Consider the following 25,235-nt stretch of genomic DNA (forward strand, 5'->3'; position numbering starts at 1 on the left):
TGCCATCTCTGAGACACTTTTTATCTACACATAAATTAAGTTACTTTATTGCTTTAGTTTCTCTGAGTTTTGTGCATTTTAGGGAGAGCTCTCAGTGTTTCCTGCTTACAGTCTTAGTTTAGGCTCCTCCAAAAGCCAACCCTGAGAAAATGATGTAGATACATGTATTTTATTTTATTTTTTAAGAGACAGGAGTCTTGCTATGTTGCCCAGGCTGGACTAGAACTCCTGGGTTCAAGTGATCTTCTCACCTCAACCTCCTGTGTAGTTGGGACTACAGATGCATGTCACCATGCCCCAGGTAGTTTGACAGGTGATCCCAGGAAGTGCAACAAGGGAGTGAGGAGTGAAGTAGAAAAGGGAAGACAGCCAATGAAAGGTGTGTGCACAAGGGAGCAGGGAGCAGGTAACCGCAATCTCAAGCTTTCTGAGAGTGTGGCCCAAAGGGTGATAGGGAATCTGGGCTGTTTATGCACCAGTTCCAGTTTCTCACTGGTTGAAAATTGCTGCTGGGAAATTAAACTCATTACACTTCTAGGCAGAGCAAACTCCTGTACTGCCAAGAAAGCCCCACAGGCAGAGAAGCAAGCAGAGAGGCGTGGATAGTTGAGGTAGAAAGACATGGGTGTGTCGCGCAGCTGCAGTGAATCCAGACATTTGGCTGACGGACATAGATTGGGGCATCAGTAGCTTCTACAATACATTCTGAGATTATTTTGCAAAGGACAAAAATCCTTGAGCATGGAGAAAAACAATAGCAACAGTCTTCTTCTAGCATCTAGAAGGAAAGATGGTAAGTTAATTAGTAAAGGGTTAGAGGCAGTTAAAATGAACTCTGAAACTGAGACTATTTGTTAAACTTTGCAGACCAAAACTTTAAACTGGAATTGGATCACTTTAATGAAAATCCCCTTTGCTATTGCTGCAGAACAAATGAGGAAAGAAAAGAAACCAACATGTTTATTGCTTTCACCTATAAACCAAGAACCTCACTGAACTATGTTAAGTAACAACTGTTTGGCTCTGTTTCTGTGAAGACTACATGGGGACTGATGGATATTTTTAAATTTTCTCTTACTAGTCATTGCTCTGGTTCATTACTAAGATGGAGCCACTCAAATAATGAGTGCTTTCTGATAGAAAAGCTGGATGACAAGATATGAAAATAGGTCTTAAACACAGTGGATTTCACCAGGGCTAGAAGCATGGGCAGAGCCGAAAGAGTCCAGAAAGGAAATACTCTCAGTGGTATCATAGATTTTAAAAATTCACCCCAATTCTTCATTTCCTCTTAATTAAGTTATAAATTCATACTACTGCCTAGTGGACTGAGTGAACTGCCCCACCCCTTGATTCTAGATTTGGCCATGTAACTTGCTTTGGAAAAGAAGTTGTTAGCAGACCTGGCATAACCTGTATGCTGGCTTATCTTCTTGGCAATTGTGATCATCCATGAGACGAACATGTCCCATGGGCTGCTATGTCTTCTCCTTCAGCCTAGGCCCTGGAAGGAAACGTGGAGCAAACTTGAACCCATCATAGCCAAGAGCTTCAGTCTTGGAACATAAATACGGAAATAGAGCTGCCCAATCAAGCATATTCTAAATGAGTCAATAGCAGTCAACTCAAGAATCCAAGCATGACAGCAGATGCTTACTTCTGTGACCACTAAATTTGTGGGTGAATCTATGAGGTAACATTATAGCGGCAGTAGTTGACTGATATAAGTGGTAGATTATTTTTTTTCTTGCCTGTAGTTAGGGTGATAATTATAACAGGGGAATAAAGACTTTTGTTAAGACCAAAGTTTTACTGAGGAAACCCAAAAACATGAAATTATTAGGAAAGAGCCAATGGGAAGGGCTCCCTGGAGGGAATCTGTAGAGGATTCTGGGTCAAGTGACTGCTGTCCCATTGACAAAATTCTGCCTCCTCTCCAGTGATTGTGGATGATCTGAGTAGATGAAGACAATGAGGCTCTCCAAAATAATGTTCACCTCTTTTCATTATTTTTTGTTTTTGATAAACATTACAGAACGTTTGGAAAGAGTTAACACTCAGGTTTTGAAAAGGTGAGCTTTCCTGAGTATATAGGGGAGGTTCTCAAATGAAAATATATTTTAATACCTTTTAAAATATTTAAACAAATCAGAGCTCCTTTATGCCGATACATCTCTGAAGAAAAGCTTATTCCAAATAGTTGTGCTACGAAGATAATGTATACATAATATTATACTGACCTTTTGGACACAGAAGGATATACCTTCAAATCTTTTCGAGTACAATAGAAAACTATTTAAATAATAAAGATTTAGGAGAGTCATACAAGTGTTTTTGAATGTTTGCTTATTGACTTTAAATATACTTCAAATTAGAAAATCAACATTATTATTATTATTATTATTTTGAGACAGAGTCTCACTCTGTCGCCCAGGCTGGAGTGCAGTGGCGTGATCTCGGCTCACTGCAACCTCCGCCACCCGGGTTCCAGCAATTTTTGTGCCTCCGCCTTCCAAGGAGCTGGGACTACAGGTACCCACCACCATGCCTGGCTAACTTTTTTGTATTTTTAATGGAGATGGGGTTTCGCCATGTTAGCCAGGCTGGTCTCAAACTCCTGACCTCAGGTGATCCGCCCACCTTGGGCCCCCAAAGTGCTGGGATTACAGGCATGAGCCACCATGCCCAGCTTAGAAAATCAACATTATTGAAGAACTTGAGATGAAAGTCAAAGATCTAGTCTTTGCACCGCCATATTCCCTAATTTGACAGCAAGCCTTACTGGTTTGTGGGGAGGGATTTCTATAAAAATTTTAACGAATAAATAATCCCTTTAACATTTATAATCTATTCCAGAACATTAAAAAGATGAAAACCTTCCTAAATAATTACATGTGGCTTGACGAATGCTAATATTATGCCCAATAAAGAGAGCACCAGTAAAGAGAATAGACATTAAGCTCGATGCAAATAAAAATAATGAATACAATATTTTCAAATTTACTGCAGCAACATCTTAAAGTATTAACAATGCATGGCGATCAAGGAAGGTTTATTTTAGGAATGCAAGAATGTTGTAGTAATAGGAAACGCATGCATGTTTAAAGCACTGGATTAATAGAATAAATGAGCAGAACATATACTATCTCAACAGTCTTTGGAAAAGTATTTGACAGACTATATTAGCCACCCCTGTCTAAAAAATTAAAAACTCTCAGGGAGTTGGGAAAAAGAAGACATTTCCTAAATTTGACAGATTGCCTTCAAAAAAACTGTCAAATACCAGTGATAAAATGTTAGACTTATTCTCATTAAAATCACAGGCAAGGCAATAATTCCACAAATCCCCATTATTCAAAATACTCCTGAGGGTCCTATAAAAAGAGACCAAAACATTGATAAATACTAGAAAAAAATAAATCCTTTCACATTAAAATTTAAAATAATGAAATAAAAACACATTAAATAAATAGATTTGCAAGATGTCTAGGGATAGCAAAACATACAAAAACCATCATTTCAATATAGTAACAATGAGCCATCAATAAAAAGATCCCATTCAAAATACAGCAAAAGCATAATATCTGTTTCCCCATAAAACCTTAAAGTTACTAAAAACTCATATTTAAAGTCAGAAAAATAAACCTAAACATCAGAAAGTGAGTAACATGGCTTGAAATGGGAAGCCTCAAATTTATAAGTTTTAAATTTTTTCTTAATCTATTCAGCGTTATCCCTATTAAAACTCTAAGGGTAATTTTAAATGAAGTTATTCCAGTTGATTCAAAATGCTATCTCTAAGAGTACATGCATAAGAACAGCTGGAAATATTATAATAAAGATAGCATTCATATGCGTAGAAAAGGAATAAATAAATGGTATTTAAATATGTGGTGCATACCATTATTATTCCATTTACACTTTACACAGTTGAGGAAACTGAAATATAGGGAAGTTAAATAGCCTATCAAAGGTCACACAGCTGCCAAGTGGTGAAACCAAGATGCAAACTCGGAGCCAGTGCTCCTCACTTACTTACCAGCGTGCTATTCTGCCTCTGGCAAAAATATGCATGTGTGTATACAAATATTGGACAAAAAGTTGACATCCGTCATACGCAAAGTTCCCATCAATCAATATTAAAAACAAACAAGTCAATAGAAATAAAAATGGGAATAGTGTCTATAAGCAATTTTCAAAAGAATAAATAGTAAATGTATGAAAAAAATGTTCAAACTCACAATTGGGGAAATGCAACTTAAAAATAACAACAAACATTTATAAAGTTTACAAAAATTTTAAAAGAGCTCTGATATCCAGTGTTCAATGAGGAAGTAGGAAAATAGCTTTCTACTCCACAATGTTGGAAATCAATTTGGCATTACTAGTCAAATTAAAAATCAACTTTAACTTAGCCATTAGCCTACTAAAATACTCACATATGTGCAAAAATACGTGTAAAAATGATTGTTATTTCTAAAAGTGACCGATGGAAATAACCTCAATCAATAGAATGGACTGGTATGCAGTCACAAAATTAAATAAATATTGACATGGAAAAAATGTCAATTTGAAGTTGTTAAGTTTTTTAAAAGCACATGGAAAAAAATTGCATACAATGTGATCCTGTCTTATATTTTATGTATGTGGATGTGTGCACATGTGTGTATCCACTTCTAAATGCATTGTAAAAGTTCTCTATAAATACCAAAGTATTCATTATACTACCCTCAGTTATTTTTATATGTGTGTGTTTGTGTGTATGTGTGTATATATATATATATGCTTATTATACCAAAATATTATCCACAGAGAAGAGAAATTAGAAAAGAGAAAAGGTTTCAATGAAGAATGAAGATGGACTTTTACTTTTACTCTATATATTTCTATAATTTTTGAATTTTTAAAATAACTATATATTGTATAATTTATAAAACGAAAATAAATCAACAAAAATTGTTTCCACAAATGAAAAAAGTTCATAAAACAAAAATACTATGTTTGATTAATATTTAACTGTCAAATTACCATTTATAGATTCTGGTTACTACCATAATCAATTAAAATCTTGCCACTCAAAGTGACGTCCTTGGACCAGCAGCAACAGCATTACCTGGGGGCTACTTAGAAATGCAGAATGGCAGGCCCCACCTCAGACCAGCAGAATTTGAAATTTAATAAGATCTCCAGGTGATTCTTATGCACATTCAAGTTTGTGAAACATTCCTCTAAGATTTTAAGCATTTTGTCTTCTGCTTCAATCACTGACAAAGAAACTGCTTAAAAAGTAAAATACCTCATTGAATTTATTTTTTAATATATAAAAAAATACTGGAAAGTGTCTTCAAATATCAAAGATAATATGTGGAGATAATCCTTTCACAATATTAAACAATATTTTTAAATGTTCAAATGTTAAACACAAAATTAGAATTTTTCCATAACTTGGGAAGCAGGACAACTGAGTAAAAAAAAAAAAAAAAAAATTACATATCTTAAAAAGGGCAGGGTGATCTTTGTAGATTGTAATTTTCCCTCTTGCATCTAAAAATCAATGTGTTTCTGCTTTCTGAATGAAAAGCCAACCAAGCCCCAGATGTCTGGATTTCCCCATCCCCAGGTGAACTTACACAGTGCATCAAGAAACAATATGGAGAAGTAGACACATGGTTCATACTCCATTACCAGACACTTTACAGAAGGTTCAGCTTCCTGCTTTCACACAAAAATCAAATTTATCCCCTTCACACCTTCACAACCTCTCACATAAATCTCACCCAAATTCCTACTTAGCATTCCCCAAAGGAAGACGCTCCCTGGACCAGGTGTGACTTCACCTCTAATTATTCTTTACTACATCTGCATGTGATTTTCCTCATTATACTGCGATTACATGAGGAAAGGGCCTCTGTTGCCTGAGCAACCAGAACCAGCACGTGCACATGCCTACTGACTGCAACCCTACTTGTAGTTTTTCTATTATGCGCTTGGGTCCTCTCACTTTTATGGTCAAAAGAATGCAATTCTTTCCCCGGTTCTGCCCTTTTTCTTCTTTTGTGGCCCTGTCTACAGTGTCTGGCTGATTTGTCTAATTTCTCTTGAATGTATTGCCTCAAATTCTCTTGTTTCCATCAGCTTAGACTGATGCTTTCCATCCTCCTAATCAGACTCTCCCTTTGAATTGCTCCTCTGCTGAAGACTGCCGCCCCAATATTTTGCTTACCTTTTACATGTGTCTCTCTACAATATTATATTCACCATAAAAAAAGATTCAATTTGCAAAGATTCCTTGTCTAGCCTTATTTCCTTCCTTTTTCCTCTTGCTGTAGTTATTTTGCTACTGAATTACAAGGCTAATAGAAAAATTATGACCTCTATTATTATAATTCCTGGTAGTAAGTCACATAAAAATATTATATGCACAATCTCTTTTTTTAAAGTGGTGGTTCTTAACTGTGGCTGGATGTTGGAATATTATGGGTAGCTCTAATAAATACTGATGCTTGGGTTCCATCCCCAGAGGTTCTGATGTAATTAGTCTGCGGTGCTGCCTGGGCAGGGAATTTTCAAAACCTCCCTGGATGATTCTAACGTGCAACCAAAGTTGGGAAGCATGAAGGCTGATAGCTTTTCAAGCTAGCCCTTTTCCATTTTGTTATTCCTTGGCATTTATGATGGTAAATTACAAATGCACCCTATCCTTAAGGGTCTTATGCCAGTGTTGGCCTATTTGCCCTCCAAACCATTATTCTTTCCTTGCTGTGGGTAGTGCATTTCAGGGGGTAAATATCCATAGGCTCTTTCCCAGGCTCACGAGATAGCTGGTTCCAAAAGAGCTTCACCCAATACCCAGTGGGAGGCTCTTCCAGGAACCTGGAGGGTGGGAGAAAGGGTGGCTCTTCCCCTCTCTGTGCAGTGCCTCTAGCTGTGTCCTCCTGTGTCTCCAGCTCCTGCCAGACAGACTCACTGCGGCTTCAATTTCTTAGGCATAACCTGGCCCACAGACTTCCTTAACACAGCACTTTCCTTTGATTTCCAATTAAGGGCTATTAGTAGTTTCCTACTGTATGTAAACTCTAGGGTATCTCACCACTCCATTTGGCAACTAACTCAGTTCCTCCATCACCTATATGACCAATTCCCAGTAAATTTTCCTCTGTGTAAATACCTTAGAATTCTTTCGTTTTCATGGTAAGGCCCTGCTTGACACAGTTTTCAGCCTACTGTCTAGTTTCCCAGATGTTGTATATCTCTGATGTTCCCTCCACTAGAGCCCACTCTGATCCTCATGAATCAGATACCACCTTAATGACACCAGGTCTATGTCACATTGCCAGATACATACATCGCACATTGACCCAAGATCTGTTGTTCAGAGTTACTGCCTTAACAGTGGAGATATAAGAGAAACTTCCCCTTCCAGAAAAATTACATATCACTAATATTATGTTCAGAAGTAGAGTGATATATCCCTCACCAGAGCTTGGAATGGGTTCTCTAAGGCCTTTTTAATCCCAAGGAGCATCAATATCACCCCAGAGCTTTCAGAAAACCAGAATCCTGAGCCCCACTCTAGATATGCATTTTTAAAAATTGACATATAAGCTAATTCATACTCTATAAGATTTATCTACAGTTATGCATTGCTAAACAACAGGGATATTGTATTAGTCCATTCTCACACTGCTAATAAAGACATATCAGAGACTGCGTAATTTATAAAGGAAAGAGGTTTAATTGACTCACAGTTTCGCATGGCTGGGGAGGCCTCAGGAAACTTACAATCCCGGTGGAAAGGGAAGCAAACACGCCCTTCTTCACATGGTGGCAGGAGCAAGAATGAGAGCCGAGAGAAGGGGGAAGCCACTTGTAATAAAATCATCAGATCTCATGAGAATTCACTCCCTGTCACAAGAACAGAATAGGGGAAACCACCCCCATGATTCAATTATCTTCACCTGGTCCCACCTTTGACATGTGGGGATTATTACAATTCAACATGAGATTTTGGGTGGGGACACAGCCAAACCGTATCAGATACATACACAAACCTGGATGGCATAGCCTATATACCTAGGCTATAAGCCTATTGCCTTTAAGCTACAAACCTGTACAACATGTTACTATACTCTTTACCGTATACTGTAGGCAATTATAACACAATGGTAAGTATTAGTGAATCTAAATATAGAAAAGATACAGTAAAAAGATGGTATAAAAAACAAAACATGGTACACTTATAAAGGGCACTTACTATGAATGAAGCTTGCAGGACTGGAAGTTTGTCTGAGTGAGTAAACAAGAGAGTGGTGAGTGAATGTGAAGGCCTACAACATTCCTGTATATATACCACTGTAGACTTTATAAACACTGAACACCAAGGCTACACTGAACTTATGAAAAATGTTTTTGTTTCTTTAATAATAAATTAACCTTAACTTAGTGTAAACTTTATATATTTTAGTTTTTTAAAACTTTTTGACTCTGTCATAATAACACTTAGCTTAAAACAAACACATCATACAAAAATATTTTCTTTATACCCTTATTCTATAAGCTTTCTTCTATTTTTAAAATTCATGTAAATTTCATAGAAATATTATTTTAATTGATAAAAGCCAAGTATTATTTCACCTATATGAAATTTACATGAATGTATATAAAATGTTCAGAATAGGCAAATCCATAGAGACAGGAGATTGGTGGTTGCCTAGGGATTAGGGAAGGAGCAAATGAGGAGTGACTGCTAATGGGTCCAGGATTTCTTTTTTGGAGTGATGAAAATATTCTGGAATTAAGTATAATGATGATCATACAATACGGTGAATATACAAGAAACTCCACTACATCGTACACTTTAAATACAGTCATAAGTTGCATAACAAAGTTTTGCTCAATGACAGACTGTATACACAATGCATTTGTTTAATTTGTTTCATTGTTTCCTAAAACCACATTGCAAGTTAAGAGAATATATTGTCATGACTATAAATGCTTTATTGAATTTGATCGGTTCCTGTAATTATGTATGAAAAACGAGACTTCACAGCCTTTATTCAGAATCATACTTTATATTGCTTATGTCTGACTCTGTAACAGTTCATAAAATTATATAGCATGTTTGGATATGATGAAAATTTAGCATTATCTAACATAAAGCCAAAAGAGAGAGCTGTTGGAGAAATCTAGTCCAATTCTTTTATTATTCAGTTGAAGTAATTGTAAGTTACAAATATTAAGTGGTTTGTCCAAAATCAGAAAGGTAATTGGTGTCAGATCTGGAACCAGAAAGTAGAACAGGGTTTAGGAAACATATTCATTATAAGGTTTAACTGTTGTAATTATTGCTATTATTGAAAAAAGAAAAAATTGCATTAAAATGAAATGGATAATTGACAATTATCGAAATAATTGTTTCAAATGACTCACTTATCTACATAATTCAGACAAAAGTCAGCATTGTAGTTTCCTCCTAATTAAATAGATATTTAATACTAGTTTTCCACTGCATGAAAATTAAAACAGAAAAGCCTTTAGAATCTTATTGCTTCCTCTTGTTTAAAAACATTTAATTCATTGCATTTAGTATTTCTATGATTTATTCATGTTGAGGCATGTATCAGTACTTTAATCCTTTTTATAGCTAATATTCTATTTTATGGATATACCACATTTTGTTTGTTTATTCATTAATTGATGGGCATTTGGGTTGTTTCCCTTTTTGACTATTATGAATAATGCTGCTATGAACACTCATATAGAAGTTTCTGTGTGAACATATGTTTTCAATTTTCTTGGGTATATATATACCTGGGGGTGGGAATTGCTAGATAATATGATAGCTCTATGTTTAAATTTTTGAGAAACTGCAAGACTGTTTTCCAAAACGGGTGCACTATTATACATTCCCATCAGTGATGTCTAAGGGTTCCATCCACATCCTCACCAACACCTGGTATTGTCCATGTTTTTGATTCTAGCCATCCTCATGAGTATGAAGTAATATTTCAATGTAACTCTGACTTGCATTTCCCTCATGACTAATAATGTTGAGATTTTTTTTCATGTGTTATTGGTCATTTATATGTTTCTTTGGATAAGTATTCAACTCTTTTATTTTTTAATTGAGTCACTTGTCTTTTATTGATGAGTTGTAAGAGTCCTTTATATATTCTGGATACTATAACTTTATCAGATATATGATTTGCGAATATTTTCTCCCAATCTGTGGGTTTTTACTTCTTGATAGTATTCTTTATAACACAAAAGTTTTTTTTAATGATGTCCTATTTATCTATTTTCTCTTTGGTTACTTGTATTTAGGTTTTACATTTAAGAGGTATTATGCCTAATCCAAGGTCACAAAGACTTACTGCTATGTTTTTGGCTAAGAATTTTATAATTTTACCTTTTATATTTAGGTCTTTGGTCCATTTTGAGTTAATTTTTTTGTATAAGATGTGAGGTAGAGGTCCCACTTTATTATTTTGCATGTAGATATCCAGTTGTCCCTGTATCATTTACTGAAAAGACTCTTCTTTTCCCCATTAGATGGTCTTGAAACGTTGTTAAAATTCAACTGACCATAGGTGTATTGGTTTATTTCTGTACTCTTAGTAGATTCCATTGACCTATATCTCTATCCTTATGCCAGTACCACAGTTTTGTTTACTACAGCTTTGTAGTAAATTTTGAACTCTAAAGTGTTAGTTCTCTAACTTTGTTTGTTTTTCAAGAGTGTTTTGACTCTTCTTACTGCATCCCTTGCATTTCCATATGGACTTTATAATCAGCCATGTCAACTTCTGCAAGAAAGACAGCTAGGATTTTGATAAGGATTGTGTTGAATCTGTAGTCCAATTTTGGGAATACTACCATGTTAACATCGTCTTCCCATCCATGCACGTGCAATAGCTTACCATTTATTTGGTCTTCCTCAATTTCTGTCAACAATGATTTGTAGTTTTCAGTTGCAAGTCTTGCACTTCTTTTGTTAAACTTTTTCCAAATATTTATTCTTCTTAATTACATAATTCTCATAATTAATAAAATTCTGAAATTTTCTTAATTTCATTTTTGTGGCCATGCACTTTAAAACTTGCCTTTTAACAAGACTTCCAGATGATTCTTGTGAACATTAAGTTTGTGAAGTGCTTCTCTATTGACAAACTGAACTCACGTGACATTCCACACAGCACTGGCAAATTCTGTCCCGTAACTCCGCTAGCTCTCCAACAAGAAGTGACTTGACGCAGCCCAAGGTTACTACTTAACACAATGAATTAAATGTTTTTAAATAAGAGGAAGCAATAAGATTCTAAAGGCTTTTCTGTTTTAATTTTCATGCAATGGAAAACTGGTATTAAATATCTATTTAATTAGGAGGAAACTACAATGCTGACTTTTGTCTGAATTATGTAGATAAGTGATTCATTTGAAACAATTATTTTGATAATTGTCAATTATCCATTTCATTTTAATGCATTTTTTATTCTTTTTTCAAAAATAGCAACAATTACAACAGTTAAACCTTATAATGAATATGTTTCCTAAACCCTGTTCTACTTTCTGGTTCCAGATCTGACACCAATTACCTTTCTGATTTTGGACAAACCACTTAATATTTGTAACTTACAATTACTTCAACTGAATAATAAAAGAATTGGACTAGATTTCTCCAACATCTCTCTCTTTTGGCTTTATGTTAGATAATGCTAAATTTTCATCATATCCAAACATGCTATATAATTTTATGAACTGTTACAGAGTCAGACATAAGCAATATAAAGTATGATTCTGAATAAAGGCTGTGAAGTCTCGTTTTTCATACATAATTACAGGAACCGATCAAATTCAATAAAGCATTTATAGTCATGACAATATATTCTCTTAACTTGCAATGTGGTTTTAGGAAACAATGAAACAAATTAAACAAATGCATGATTCCTTAAATTTTGTTGACTCGGGATTTAGTTACATATAAGACTCTTTTCCCCCAGCCAGATTAACCCTGCTCTGTATATGTAATACGCATCTTCCCCCCAAATTTCACAATAATAATTTTATGAAAATCAGTATGTAAGTTGCTGCATTGGCATGAAAGGCTACTAATGTGATATCTTTCAAAGATAAAGTGAACGTTTTTGTAAAAAGCCACCACACTGGAGGCATTTAACAATATTCATCTTCCTATGGCATTACTACCCTAGATGTACTTTGCAATATTAATCAAGCCTTGTCTTACTTCAGGCTTCCTAGAAATAGAGCACAAGGCAGGGATTCTTTCTTGCTCGGTGATTTATTGAGGAAGTGCTCTCAGAAGAAATTGGTAAGATGCTAAGGAGAACAGCAAAGGACAGGAGAAGGGGGCTGAGCAGAGATGGGGATCTAACTGGAATCTGGCCTTTGCTGATTACCAGAGCAGCTCTGGGTGCGAATGGTGAAGTGCTGTTCTATTGACAAACTCCACTCAAGTGACATTCCATGCAGCACTGCCAAATTCTGTCCCATAACTCTGCTAGCTCTTCAACAAGAAGTAACTTGAGGCAGCACAGTTACAGAAAACAGCACAAGAACCAAGGATACTAAACAGTGACTTAAATGTTTTTAGATAAGAGGAAGCAATGAGATACTATAGGGTTTTAATTTCTGTGCAATGGAAAACTAGTATTAAATATTTATTAATTAGGAGGAAACGACAATGCTGACTTCTGTCTGCATTATAGACAAAATTGAGTTCTCCAACCATGAGGCAAGGTGCTGGCTTTTTGTACCCCTGCACTATTCATTTGATGGGTGAGTGCACTGTAACTTCCAGACGTCTCTTGGTAGGTGGGCCCCACTGGCCAAGGGCATTTCCCGGGAGAGTGAACGGCTGTGAGCTACTAGCAGTAGCAGTCACAGCAGCTGGGAGGAAACACACTGGTCAGGTAAAGGGCCAGCATCTACCAAGGTCCAGTTCCACAATTAGTGGAGAAATATTTAATAACATTATTTTTGAAAATAATTAGGCCATATGACTTTGACACTTTTTCTCTAGCAAAGTGACTAAAGAGAAGCAGGTTTTTAACTGGGTTTTTATTTCTGTTGTGTCTCTAGCCAAAGCCATGCTGATGTTTGATAGTTTTTTTTTTTCTTTTTTTAAGAGATGGGGTTTCACCATGTTGGCCATGCTGGTCGTGAACTCCTGACCTCAATGGCCTCCCAAACTGTTGGGATTACAGACGTGAGCCACCACGCCCAGCCAGAATTTTTTTTCCTAAAGAATAGAACAACATTATAAAATTTTAGGCATTAAGGACAAATTTTATTTTATGATTTTCATTTCGGTGAGTCACAAGATATTCAACACAAAATGAAACTTCACAAAATTTCACAAAATGAAAAATTCATTTCAGATTCAATATCCACCTCCATCATCCATATTCATTCTTCCAATGTCTCAGGCCAGAAATTTGGAGTATGTGGCTTCTCCACCTCACACAATTTGCCCTAACTTTAATATATACTCAGAAATTACTGGCTTTTCACTGTTTCTATGATTCCCATGTGTAATATACAATACTCACCATGCATACAATAATACAATAATTCTGTGTCACAACCACACCTAAATTGGTAAGTTTATAAGGTTATAAGCTGAGAGGTTTTGCTGATCTTGGCTGAGCTCAGCTGGGCAGGTCTTCCGGTCTTGGCTGGGGTTCACTGACACACAAGCAGCTGACAGTTGGCTGATCTAGGATGGCCTCAGCTGGGATGACAGGCTGTTTCCTCACCTTCCAGCAGGCAAGCCAGTCCCAAGAAAGAGAAGGGTGAAACATGGAGGCCATTAATTGAGCCCATCGCATGAAACGCATCTGTGACACCATCACCGTCTGATATCAACTCTCACCTGGATGTTTGCAATCGCCTAACTTTTCTCCTTTCATTCACTATGCTGCCTTACAAACCTATTCTCCACAAATCAGCTAGAGCAAACCTTTTAAATCCTAAGTAGAATGCTACCATTCCTCTGCTCAAACTACTGGAGAGGAGATGCCACAGTCTTTACTATGGTCTTCAAGACCCTATGGGAGGTAGCCCTGTCTTACAACCATAGCCTCCTACCACTGCCCCAACATGCACACTGAGTTCCGGCCACAGCATCTGCTTCCTCTTTATTGATCTGCCAAGGACATGAATGACTCAGAATCTCAAACTTATTCTTCCCTCAGAATCCACTGAGCCTACTCCCTCTTTTTCTCAAATGGCAACTTCTCAGAGATGCCTTCTCTGGCTAACGTATATGTACTAAAACCTCCATCCAGCACTCTATGTCATCCTTACTATGGTTTATTTTTCTTCATAGCACCTATCAATTGGTGAAGTATTAAATATGCATTTTTGTTTGTATGCATCTCTCTCCCCGCACCAGTATGTGAACTCCACCAGACTGGAGAGCGTGTTTATTTTGTTCACTGCTGTAACTCCAGTGTCTAGAACAGTGCCTGGCACACAGTAGGTGTTTAATAATGATTTGTTAAGCTAAGCCAATGAATAAATATTCTTTTGCCCATGAGATGATGTTAAAAATTTTTCAATTATTCATAACTGCCTGTAAGGAATGAATGTTAGTGAATTACTGTGATACCAATGAAAGTTAAATGATGCAATGAAGATTGGGTGGATCACAAGGTCAGGAGTTTGAGACCATCCTGGCCAATATGGTGAAACCCCGTCTCTACTAAAAATACCAAAATTAGCTGGGCATCGTGGCAGGACCCTGTAGTCCCAGCTACTCAGGAGGCTGAGGCAGGAGAATCGCTTGAACCCAGGAGGCGGAGGTTGCAGTGAGCCGAGATCACGCCACTGCACTCCAGCCTGGCCGACAGAGTGAGATTCTGTCTCCAAAAAAAAAAAAAAAAAAGATGTAAATATTATTATTGTTTGCCATCACCCTTATGTGCTGTCTTGGCTTTATGTCGTGCTTAGATCTTTTCCAGGTGCAATTTGAATTGATGCAACTAATGGAAACTACAACAGAAGTTCATATTGCCCTATTGTATTACACTATTTGACTCATCTTTCAGTATCACCAGGTGCATAAGGAAAATTTCAAAAGTAAATCAAGAGAAAGAAATATGATCGCAGCTTAACACAATGTAAATTTATTATTTGTACTTTTTGTCTAAATGGTTTGCCTAAAAGACTGAAAGACATTTTATATTAGTTAGAATACTTGAGGATAATAACATAAAAACTTTCCTTTCCAACTTGTTTATAAAAGGAAATCTTCACTGTTTTGAACATCAGTTATTTTAAACTTTTAAGTTGTTAGCACAGCAAAAGCAACAAAATTCTAAGTGCAGTAATCACTTTACTGCGTGGTCATATGAAATCAAGGCAATGTTATGAGTATTACTGGAAAGCTGGACAGAGTAACGGGAAAAGTGACTAAAACTATGCAAAACTATGCAAAACTAAGCAGATTGTGTCTCTAGAGTATTTCCCATCTCAAGTTTAGTTATTTACTAATTTGGCAACATCTGACCTATCTTTAATTGTGAGAAAATAAACAAACACATAAGCCAACTCTCAGAATATGGTTATACATAGGTGTAGCCTATGACTTTGAATGTATTTGTTTGAATAGCGTAAAACAAAATAAAAATAAAATCTTGTTACAGTGCAAGAAACGGCAGTCATCAAACTAAGATGAGGCAAGTGTCATGAAGTATGAAAATATGGTACCTGAATTCTATTTATTAGAAAGTCTTCACTGAGCTGAGCATGTTTTTTTTAACAAATTCAATTACTGATTTGAATATTTATTATACTTAATTATTGCAGCCATGAAAAGAGGTGCTGGCTGAGGCTGCATTTAATAAAAACATTTAATCAGCTTGAGGTTAGTAAACCATTTAATTTGTTTTTTCATGAAGATTTAACTTCTAGAATAATTTCATTTATGTATTTTTAGGTATAGCCCTAGATTCTGGTCTACATAGTATACAAATCATTTTAGAATGACACTAGGTTATTTCAACTGCTTTTCTACAGAAGTGTTAAATAAGGGAGTAAAGTGTTGGCTTTTTCCATAATTGAAATAAATGCACAATGAGCAGTAACATCCTGATTTCACTGCTATTTTGTTTAATCAACATAATGATGTAGATTTACTCTGTATATATATGGAAGAGTGAAAGAAGGTTGGGAAGGAATAACTATCAATTAATATAGGTGATATAGTAGTTATTTTTGCAAATCAACTATAATTTCTGAATGGATATTCAGACCATATTTACATTACATAGAAGAGGCACACACCAAAAGATTTAACAAATGTGCCAAATATTGGTGAATATTTAGTTAGGTACCAAAAGGATGTTGTATAAATTAGGATGCTTTCAACCATAAGAGACTCATCTCAAAAATGGCTTGAAAATGTGGGGAATTTTTATCTCAGTGTGAAGTTAAAGGTAGGGCAAGTCCAAATCAATTCAAGTTAATTAAAGCCCCAAGTTCTTGGAATTTGCTCTGCTAGTCTTAGCTGGTTAGCCTTTGTCCTGAAGTTTGTAACTTCATGACCAGAAGATGATCGCAATATTTTCTAAGTATAAAGCCTGAAGGTGTAAACCAGGTAGTCTCAGCAAAACCAATGATGCATGGTCACCTTTCCCTTAGTTGACAAATACTTGCCTTCCAGATACTTTGAATCAGAATGGGCATTTTAACTAAGATCCAGTGCAACTAAAGGAATAATCAAACAAATGATAAAATAATTATTCTGAGCTGAAAACACAAGTCTGAATATTGGAAGAGGTTCCTGATTTCCAGGCAGAATAGATAAGCAAAGATATCAACCTAAACACATCCTGGTTATAGTCTAAAATTTAGAGAATAAATGGGAAAAGATTATGAACTTTAAGGAAGAAATAACAACTTACACATAAAACAAAAAGGAAAAACTATCTGTTGACAGATTTATCACCTGCTAGATAAGAGCAGAATAACCATTCACTAGGAGAAAATGGGAGAAGCTAGAAGATACTGGAGTAATATTTATAGAGTACTGAAGAAAAAACAAAAAACAGAAATTCAATACACAGCTAAGATATCATTTACCTGTAAATGATACATGGTAAAATAAAGGGTAAAATAAGGATATTTGCAGATTCACAAGGAGAAGTTAGCCTTCACATACTCAGCTGAGGAAAATCCTAGAGACAAAACTCTAACAAAAACAAACTAGCCGGGTGCAGTGGTGCAGGCCTGTAGTTCCAGCTACTCAAGAGGCTGAAGTAAGAGGATCACTGGAGCCCAGGGGTTCTGGGCTGTACTGTGCTATGCTGATCAGGTGTCCACACTTAGCTCGCCATCAATATGATGACCTCCCAGGTGGGAAATGGAGCAGGTGAAAACTCCCATGCTGATCAGTAGTGGGATCATGTCTGTGAATAATCACTGCACTCCAACTGGGAAACATAGCAAGACCCCATCTCTAAAAAACAAACAAACAAACAAACAAACAAACAAAAATGTTTCAGACAAATGTCAAGATAGAGTAAAAGAAGAAAGTACTGAAGGCCCTTCAACATAAATTGGATCAGATAATAAAAATAATAGCAAAGTTCTTTTCATGCTGTATCCTTAATTCTTCACCATAATCTTAGGAAGTGAATGTATTAATTATCTTTTGCTATATAACAAATTACTCCCAAAACTTGGCGGCTTAAAACAACAAATATTATTTCACAATTTCTGTGGGTCAAGAATTTGGAAGTAGTGACTCTGGCTCAGGGTCTCATTTAAGGTGGTAGTTCAGGATGCCAGTCAGGGCTGCAGGCACTGAGGCTGCTTCCTCAATGGCCCACTCACATGGCTGTTGGCTGGAGGCCTCTCTTTCTCACCACACGGGCCTCTTCATAGGACTGCCCGAGTGTCCTTACAGCGTGGCAGCTGGCTTCCCCCAGAGTGAACATTCTGAGAGAGAGAGAAAGAGAGAGTTAGAAGGCATGCTGTCACTTCCACTGTATCCCATTCACCAGAAGTGAGAGACTAAATTCACCAAACAGAAAAGTGAAGGAGAATGAGGCTCCAGTTTTTTGGGTGAGAGTTGAAGAATGTATGGATATTTTGAACAACCACAATATAATTCTTCTTTTCACAGAAGCACAAAAAAATTTATTTAACTTGTCCAAGTTTACACAGTTAGCAAGCAACACCTTTGAGAAAAAAATCCATGTAGTCTGATACAAGCACCCAAACTCATAACCACAATGTGAATCTAACTGCTTTTCAATTAAAAAAGAAAGAAAGATTCCCTTCAAATCTGGCATATGCATTCACATGGAGCATTCATACTGCCAGTGACAGTACCATAGTTATATGGAATTAGAAGTTCTAACTTATCTTGGCCAAACTAAAGACTTAGGGCTGGGTAGAAGGTTGGAGGGATGTAAGGTCATTCTCAAGATCTCATCTAGGAGAAGAAAACAAAATGGGGAAGTAGAAGACAAAATGCTTTTTTAGGTTGGGAAAGGACTGGGAGAATCAAGCATCTAGAAATGGGCACAAAGAGTTACCTTATTTTATTTAAAAGAAAATAAATGTTTGACTATTAATGCCTGAGAACGGAAGGTGATTATTAATGAGATGAAAAAGTTAATCAGATTCTCCAAGTTAGGAGGGACTTGAAGACCAAATTGATAAAAATAAAAAAAAAGATGTCATAGTAGAATAATCTAGATAATAAGCAATCAATGAGACTGAAAAAATAAAATCAAGTATATCATTTGTTACACTAAATATTAATATACCAGATTCTCTCATTAAAAAAACAGAGAAAGTCAAATTGGATTAAATAAGAACAAAAAGTTAGCTATATAGTATTTATCAGAAACATTCTTATAAACAAATTGATAATGAAAGATTAAAAATAAGAGATTTGAGGCAAGGCAAGCAAAAAGAAATAAATGTTAAACAAGGAGAAATTAAAGGCTACGGACATTACCTAAGGAAAAGGATGACATAGAGTTACAGTGGCAAAAGTTAGGAAGCAGATGACATAAATCTATATGCACAAACAGTATGGCCACAAAATACATTAATTAAAAATTACTAGAAATATAAGATGACTTTGATTAAAATACACTGATTACAAGGGATTTAACATATAAAAATTAGGCTGATGTGGTAAATTTAAATATAATCAAATATTTAGGAAAATAGAACAACACAACAAAGTTGATTACATATATTCATTTTCCAGATAGTATACTTTATGCCTATGAAATAGTTCTTAAAATCAATTATATATGGCCGGGTGCAGTGGCCCACGCCTGTAATCCCAGCACTTTGGGAGGCCAAGGCAGGTGGATCACGAGGTCAGGAGATCGAGACCATCCTGGCTAACACAGTGAAACCCCGTCTCTACTAAAAATACAAAAAAAAAAAAAATTAGCTGGGCGTGGTGGCTGGAACCTGTAGTCCCAGCTACTCGGGAGGCTGAGGCAGGAGAATGGCGTGAACCCAGGAGGCGGAGCTTGCAGTGAGCAGAGATTGCACCACTGTACTCCAGCCTGGGCGACAGAGTGAGACACCGTCTCAAAAAAAAAAAAATCAATTATATATTTAAACACACACACACACACACACACACACACACACACACACACACACACCTTTTCTAAAAAATCGGGATTTAATAGACATATTATCTGATCATAGGCTGTTGAAGATAAATGATTTAAAGGTGGCCTAAAGTTTAAGTACTTGCAAATTAAGAAACATCCTCTCCACATCAAAGAGAAAATCACAACTAATGTTACTAATTTTCTAGGAAGCAATTTAAAGAACACTAAATCCAAAACCTATGAGACACAGATGAAACTGTGTTCAGGGGAGAATGTATAGCCTTAAATGCTTACATTAATAAAGTAAATGAAAGAAAAAAATAGTTTTTATCCTAGGAAATTAGGAAAAAAGCAAATGAAGTGAAATATACTACTAAGAAATAAAGGCAAAATTACTGAATTTCATGAAATAGAAAACAATAAAATATATTAGAAAGGATAAAAAGGATTTTAAAAATCTGCTCTTTTAAAGAATCTGTAAAACAGAAAGCCTTATGGTTCAGATTAAAGAAAAAAAGTTTGTGTACGTGTGTGTGTATGTATTAAGAAAGGAGATATAACTTCACAATCAAAGAAGTTTCAAAGAATTGCAGTTACATGGCAATAAATTTGAAAACTGAGAGGACACAGAAGATTGTGTAACAAATTACAAATAATGAAAATTGACCTTATTCTGAAGTAGAAAACAGGAATAGATCAAGTTTCATGCAAGAGTTTGGAAAGATGATTAAAAATGTACCCTCTAAAGAGCAAGCTGGGCATGGTGGCTCATGCCTGTAGCCCTAGCTACATGGGTGGCTGAGGCAGAAAGATCACTTGAGCCCAGAAGTCCAGAAGTTCAAGGCTACAGTGAGCTATGATTGTGCCAGTGCCCTCCAGAAGAGAGAAAGAAAGAGAGAGAGAGAGAGAGAGAGAGAGAGAGAGAGAGAGAGAGAGAAGAAGGAAGGAAGGAAGGAAGGGCAGAAAGCAGACCAGACCAGATTTCATAGCTGTATTCTGTCTATCCTTAAAGAATAAATAGTTCCACTTATATTTTAAATATTCTAGACGACAGAAGAAGGAGGAAAGTTCTTAGGAACCGATAAGAGAATTCAGAAGAACCAAGATTCAGTAGCCTACAAAGAATGAAAATATGCTCATAGCAAGACAGCTTTTGAGATATTTATTTCAAATTCACAAAAACTCCCCCATGCAATCTTAAAGAGGCTTTACTTTATTTAAGCCAAAGAAAAGTGCAGATCCTGATATGAATATATTTATCTACAAAAGGCTCATATTCTGAAGTAATACTATTCAACTCTCATTCATTCAAGAGCTGTTCTGTAATTGTTCCAATATAAAGGAGTCAAAACAATTTCTTAATGGAAGTATTAAGTAGTGCTCTATGTTGTCAACTAATTTATTTCCCATTTCAAACATTAGTTGACATGTTTTCATTTCTCTTTTGGAAGGAAACAACTAAATATGTTATCAATCCATCATTTACTTGTACAATAAATAAAGTTCTAAATCACTGCACAGTGTAAAATGGCAAATAGACTTCCCCATAACACAAAGCCATCCTGAAAAGTTTTGTTCATTTTAGAAGAAAAAATTTTAAAACCTGAGCACCATAGGATATGAATTTTGTAAATAATTATGAAAAGAAAACAACAATAATAAAACTCTACTAATCTTAGCTCGATCTTATAAAAAGTTCCATAATGAGTAATCAAATTTTATTTCCAATTAAATATGTTATCACCCAGTAGTATGCCATACCAGTTTCTAATTCATACTTCAATTATCTTCTAATTTAAATTAATGACTATAATTGCTGTTATAAAACAACAGCTCTATAGCCTGCTATTCAGACCAGTAAATAAGAGTTTAAGGGCTTGTGATAGCAAATGAAGTTTCTTATTGGATTTTAAGAAAAATTTTTATAAAAATATGTGAGGTTATTCAATAGAATCACATTTAATTTGCCAAGCATTTTGCAGAATGCCTAGGACTATGTAAGAAGTATTAAATTTGCAAGCCCTTTGAATAGTTGTAATTTAAAGATAAAAATTGGTTTAATACCAGACAAAGATAGAAGCACAAGTTAGGTTATTAGAGAATTTAGCCAGTGTATCAGTTTGTATCGTAAGTCATTGGCAAGAACAACGTGTACTTTTCTGTCACCTCCCAACTAGCTATGTTTTGAGCAGTAGGAATATTTAATACCCCTTCCTCCCATTTTTCCTTTGTGTTGTCCAAATTCTGACAACTCTACTGCCAGATAGCTCAGGGCAAAAATGATAAAGTTCAAGTTAAGAAGGCTCTGCAGTGTTCTCAGTTCTCCTCTGGTGAAAGAGGAGAAAGGTTGTGTTTAATTATGAATCTGGGATTTCCAAAACTTTACCCATGCCCTGCCTGTCCCCTCATTAGCATGAAGCTGTTATTTAAATAGTTCAGCAATAACGACTTTAGTAGCCTCCCTAGGTTAAAAAGATTGAAATTAAATGTGTTTATCTATTGTTCTACTATTCAGTTACCTGATTATAAAATCAAAGATTATTTCATGAAACTCAGTACCCCTTCAGGGAAAAAAAAAAAAAATTCCCTAAAACAAAGTTAGGAGAGTGAATCGGACCACATGCTTATCTCCAAGGTCTCAATCAAACAGCAAATGCTTACCCAACTTCTATTCAAAATATTTGCGCCAGTAGTTCTGATATGACCCAAGCAGAGTTCACACATTATTAATCTACTCCTTTCAGTCTTCTAGATGTGTTTCCTCCAAAATCTACCAGATTCTCAAATAATTTCAGGAACTTTCTCCAGAACAGAAACAAGGTTGTTACTGATACCAACTTTGTCTCCAAACATGGGGAAGATTATCATTGGAAAGATCTATTGATGACCTATAATACATAGTTGGAACTGTTTATCCACAGAAGTATTCCCCAAGAATCAACCACAGAGCCAAGATGGAGCTTATGTCATTGTTATGCATACTTCTTTTACGGCTTGTGAGGGCAGTTCATACTATTCTGATTTTACAACTGAGACCCAAGGAACCTGAGTGACTTCTAGGCTCCATTATGTCAAAAAAAACTCAAATGTGAGGCTTTGCCTACACTGAGAAACAGTAGTTCAAGAAACGGTGCCCTGGTTCTGTTAAAATAATCTGAGAGTTATGTGGTAAGTAGTTGAGAGTGAATAGGGTAGCTTTGAGAGGTGACAGCGTGCTGGCAGTCCTCACAGCCCTCGCTGGCTCCAGGCGCCTCCTCTGCCTGGGCTCCCACTTTGGCGGCACTTGAGGAGCCCTTCAGCCCACCACTGCACTGTGGGAGCCCCTTTCTGGGCTGGCCAAGGCCGGAGCCGGCTCCCTCAGCTTGCAGGGAGGTGTGGAGGGAGAGGCGCGAGCGGCAACCGGGGCTGCGCACGGCGTTTGCGGGCCAGCTGGAGTTCTGGGTGGGCGTGGGCTTGGCGGGCCCCGCACTCGGAGCAGCCGGCCAGCCCTTCCAGCCCCAGGCAATGAGAGGCTTAGCACCCGGGCCAGCAGCTGCGGAGGGTGTACTCCGTCCCCCAGCAGTGCCAGCTCACAGGCGCTGCGCTCAATTTCTCACCGGGCCTTAGCTGCCTTCGCGCGGGGGGTGCTCGGGACCTGCAGCCCGCCATGCCTGAGCTCCCACCCCCTCCATGGGCTCCCGTGCGCCCGAGCCTCCCCGATGAGCACCACCCCCTGCTCCACGGCGCCCAGTCCCATCGACCACCCAAGAGCTGAGGAGTGCGGGCGCACGGCGCGGGACTGGCAGGCAGCTCCACCTGCAGCTCTCGTGCGGGATTCACTGGGGGAAGCCAGCTGGGCTCCTGAGTCTGGTGGGGACGTGGAGAACCTTTATGTCTAGCTCAGGGATTGTAAATACACCAATCGGCACTCCGTATCTAGCTCAAGGTTTGTAAACACACCAATCAGCACCCTGTGTCTAGCTTAGTGTTTGTGAACGCACCAAGCCACACTCTGTATCTAGCTACTCTGGTGGGGCTTTGGAGAACCTTTGTGTCCACACTCTGTAGCCAGCTAATCTGGTGGGGACATGGAGAACCTTTGGGTGTAGCTCAGGGATTGTAAACGCACCAATCAGCGCCCTGTCAAAACAGAGGACTCGGCTCTACCAATCAGCAGGATGTGGGTGGGGCCAGATAAGAGCATAAAAGCAGGCTGCCTGAGCCAGCAGTGGCAACCCGCTTGGGTTCCCTTCCACACTGTGGAAGGTTTGTTCTTTCACTGTTTGCAATAAATCTTGCTGCTGCTCACTCTTGGGGTCCACACTGCTTTTATGAGCTGTAACACTCACTGCGAAGGTCTGCAGCTTCACTCCTGAAGCCAGCGAGACCACGAGCCCACCAGGAGGAACCAACAACTCCAGAAGCGCCGCCTTAAGAGCTGTAACACTCACCGTGAAGGTCTGCAGCTTCACTCCTGAGCCAGCGAGACCACGAACCCACCAGAAGGAAGAAACTCCGAACACATCCGAACATCAGAAGGAACAAACTCCAGATGCGCCACATTAAGAGCTGTAACACTCACCGCGAGGGTCCCTGGCTTCATTCTTGAAGTCAGTGAGACCAAGAACCCACCAATTTTGGACACAGTTTGACAATAAATTTACACTCAAATATCTCTAAGGAATCAAACTTACAGATTAATAATTAGTAATCAGGTCACGTAAAGTAAATTATAAAAGAGCATTGATACCAAGATTGGCAGAAAGTTTTTTGTGTGACAAAACCAAGTTTTGGCTAAGATACACACTGCTGATGGGAGTCTAAATTGCTGTATATGTCGGGAAAACAAGTTGTCTTTATCTTGATGTTATAAATAACCTATGACCCAGAAATTTAACTCCTAGACATATACTCTAGTGAAACTCTTGAACGTGTGCGTCCAAAGACATTTATAAACATGATCTTAGTAGTATTGCTTTTAGTAGCAAATTCTGGAAACATCCCAAATGTCTATCAATAGTGGAATTGATTTGAAAGGGGTGTGGAATGGTAATATAATGGAATAGCCTACAGCTGTTTAGATAAAGGAACTCCAATTAAACATACCAACAAAGATACATTTCAAAAACAAGACGTTGAAAGGAAAAAAGTCATCAAAACAATACACAACATTCTACCACATTTTTATAAATTCTCAAAATATGCAATATTAAACATGCATTATTTAGGGAGGCATTCAATGTAGCAATGCATTTTTAAGAGGCTGGGATGATAAATGTAAAATTCAGAACAGGTATTATCTCTGGGAACAGGAAGAGGAGGATGCAGTGTTGGGAAGAAATACATATAAGTACAGCAGTAGAGGCAGACTTTTTTTTCCTTTTCCTTTTTCCTTTATTTTTCCTAGCTTTCTTTTTCTTTAGCTATGGTATTTCTTTAGCTATGGTATGGTATGGTATGTACTTTCCATATATCATACAGTATATTTTGGTGTGCATGAAATAGTCCTTAATAACATTTTTATTATTTTTTATTTGACGTTTAAGTTCAGGGGTACATGTGCAGATTTGTTATATAGGTAAACTTGTGTCATGTGGTTTTGTTGCACAAATTATTTTCTCACCCAGGTATTAAGATTAGTAC

General features: G+C 37.0%; 1 long non-coding RNA gene across 1 annotated transcript in view; it reads right to left on the reverse strand.

The window, feature by feature from the left end:
- Window positions 1-15,124: 15,124 nt before the first annotated feature.
- SNAP25-AS1 (SNAP25 antisense RNA 1) overlaps window positions 15,125-25,235 on the reverse strand; it is a 195,695-nt gene continuing 185,584 nt past the window's right edge. The window contains exons 4-5 of the long non-coding RNA NR_040710.1: window positions 17,857-17,961; window positions 15,125-17,479 (exon numbers count right to left, since the gene is read on the reverse strand). This is a non-coding gene — a long non-coding RNA (SNAP25 antisense RNA 1). The remainder of the gene's footprint in view (window positions 17,480-17,856; window positions 17,962-25,235) is intronic.

The sequence above is a fragment of the Homo sapiens genome, chromosome 20, assembly GCF_000001405.40.
Source record: "Homo sapiens chromosome 20, GRCh38.p14 Primary Assembly".
Lineage (NCBI taxonomy): Eukaryota > Metazoa > Chordata > Mammalia > Primates > Hominidae > Homo > Homo sapiens.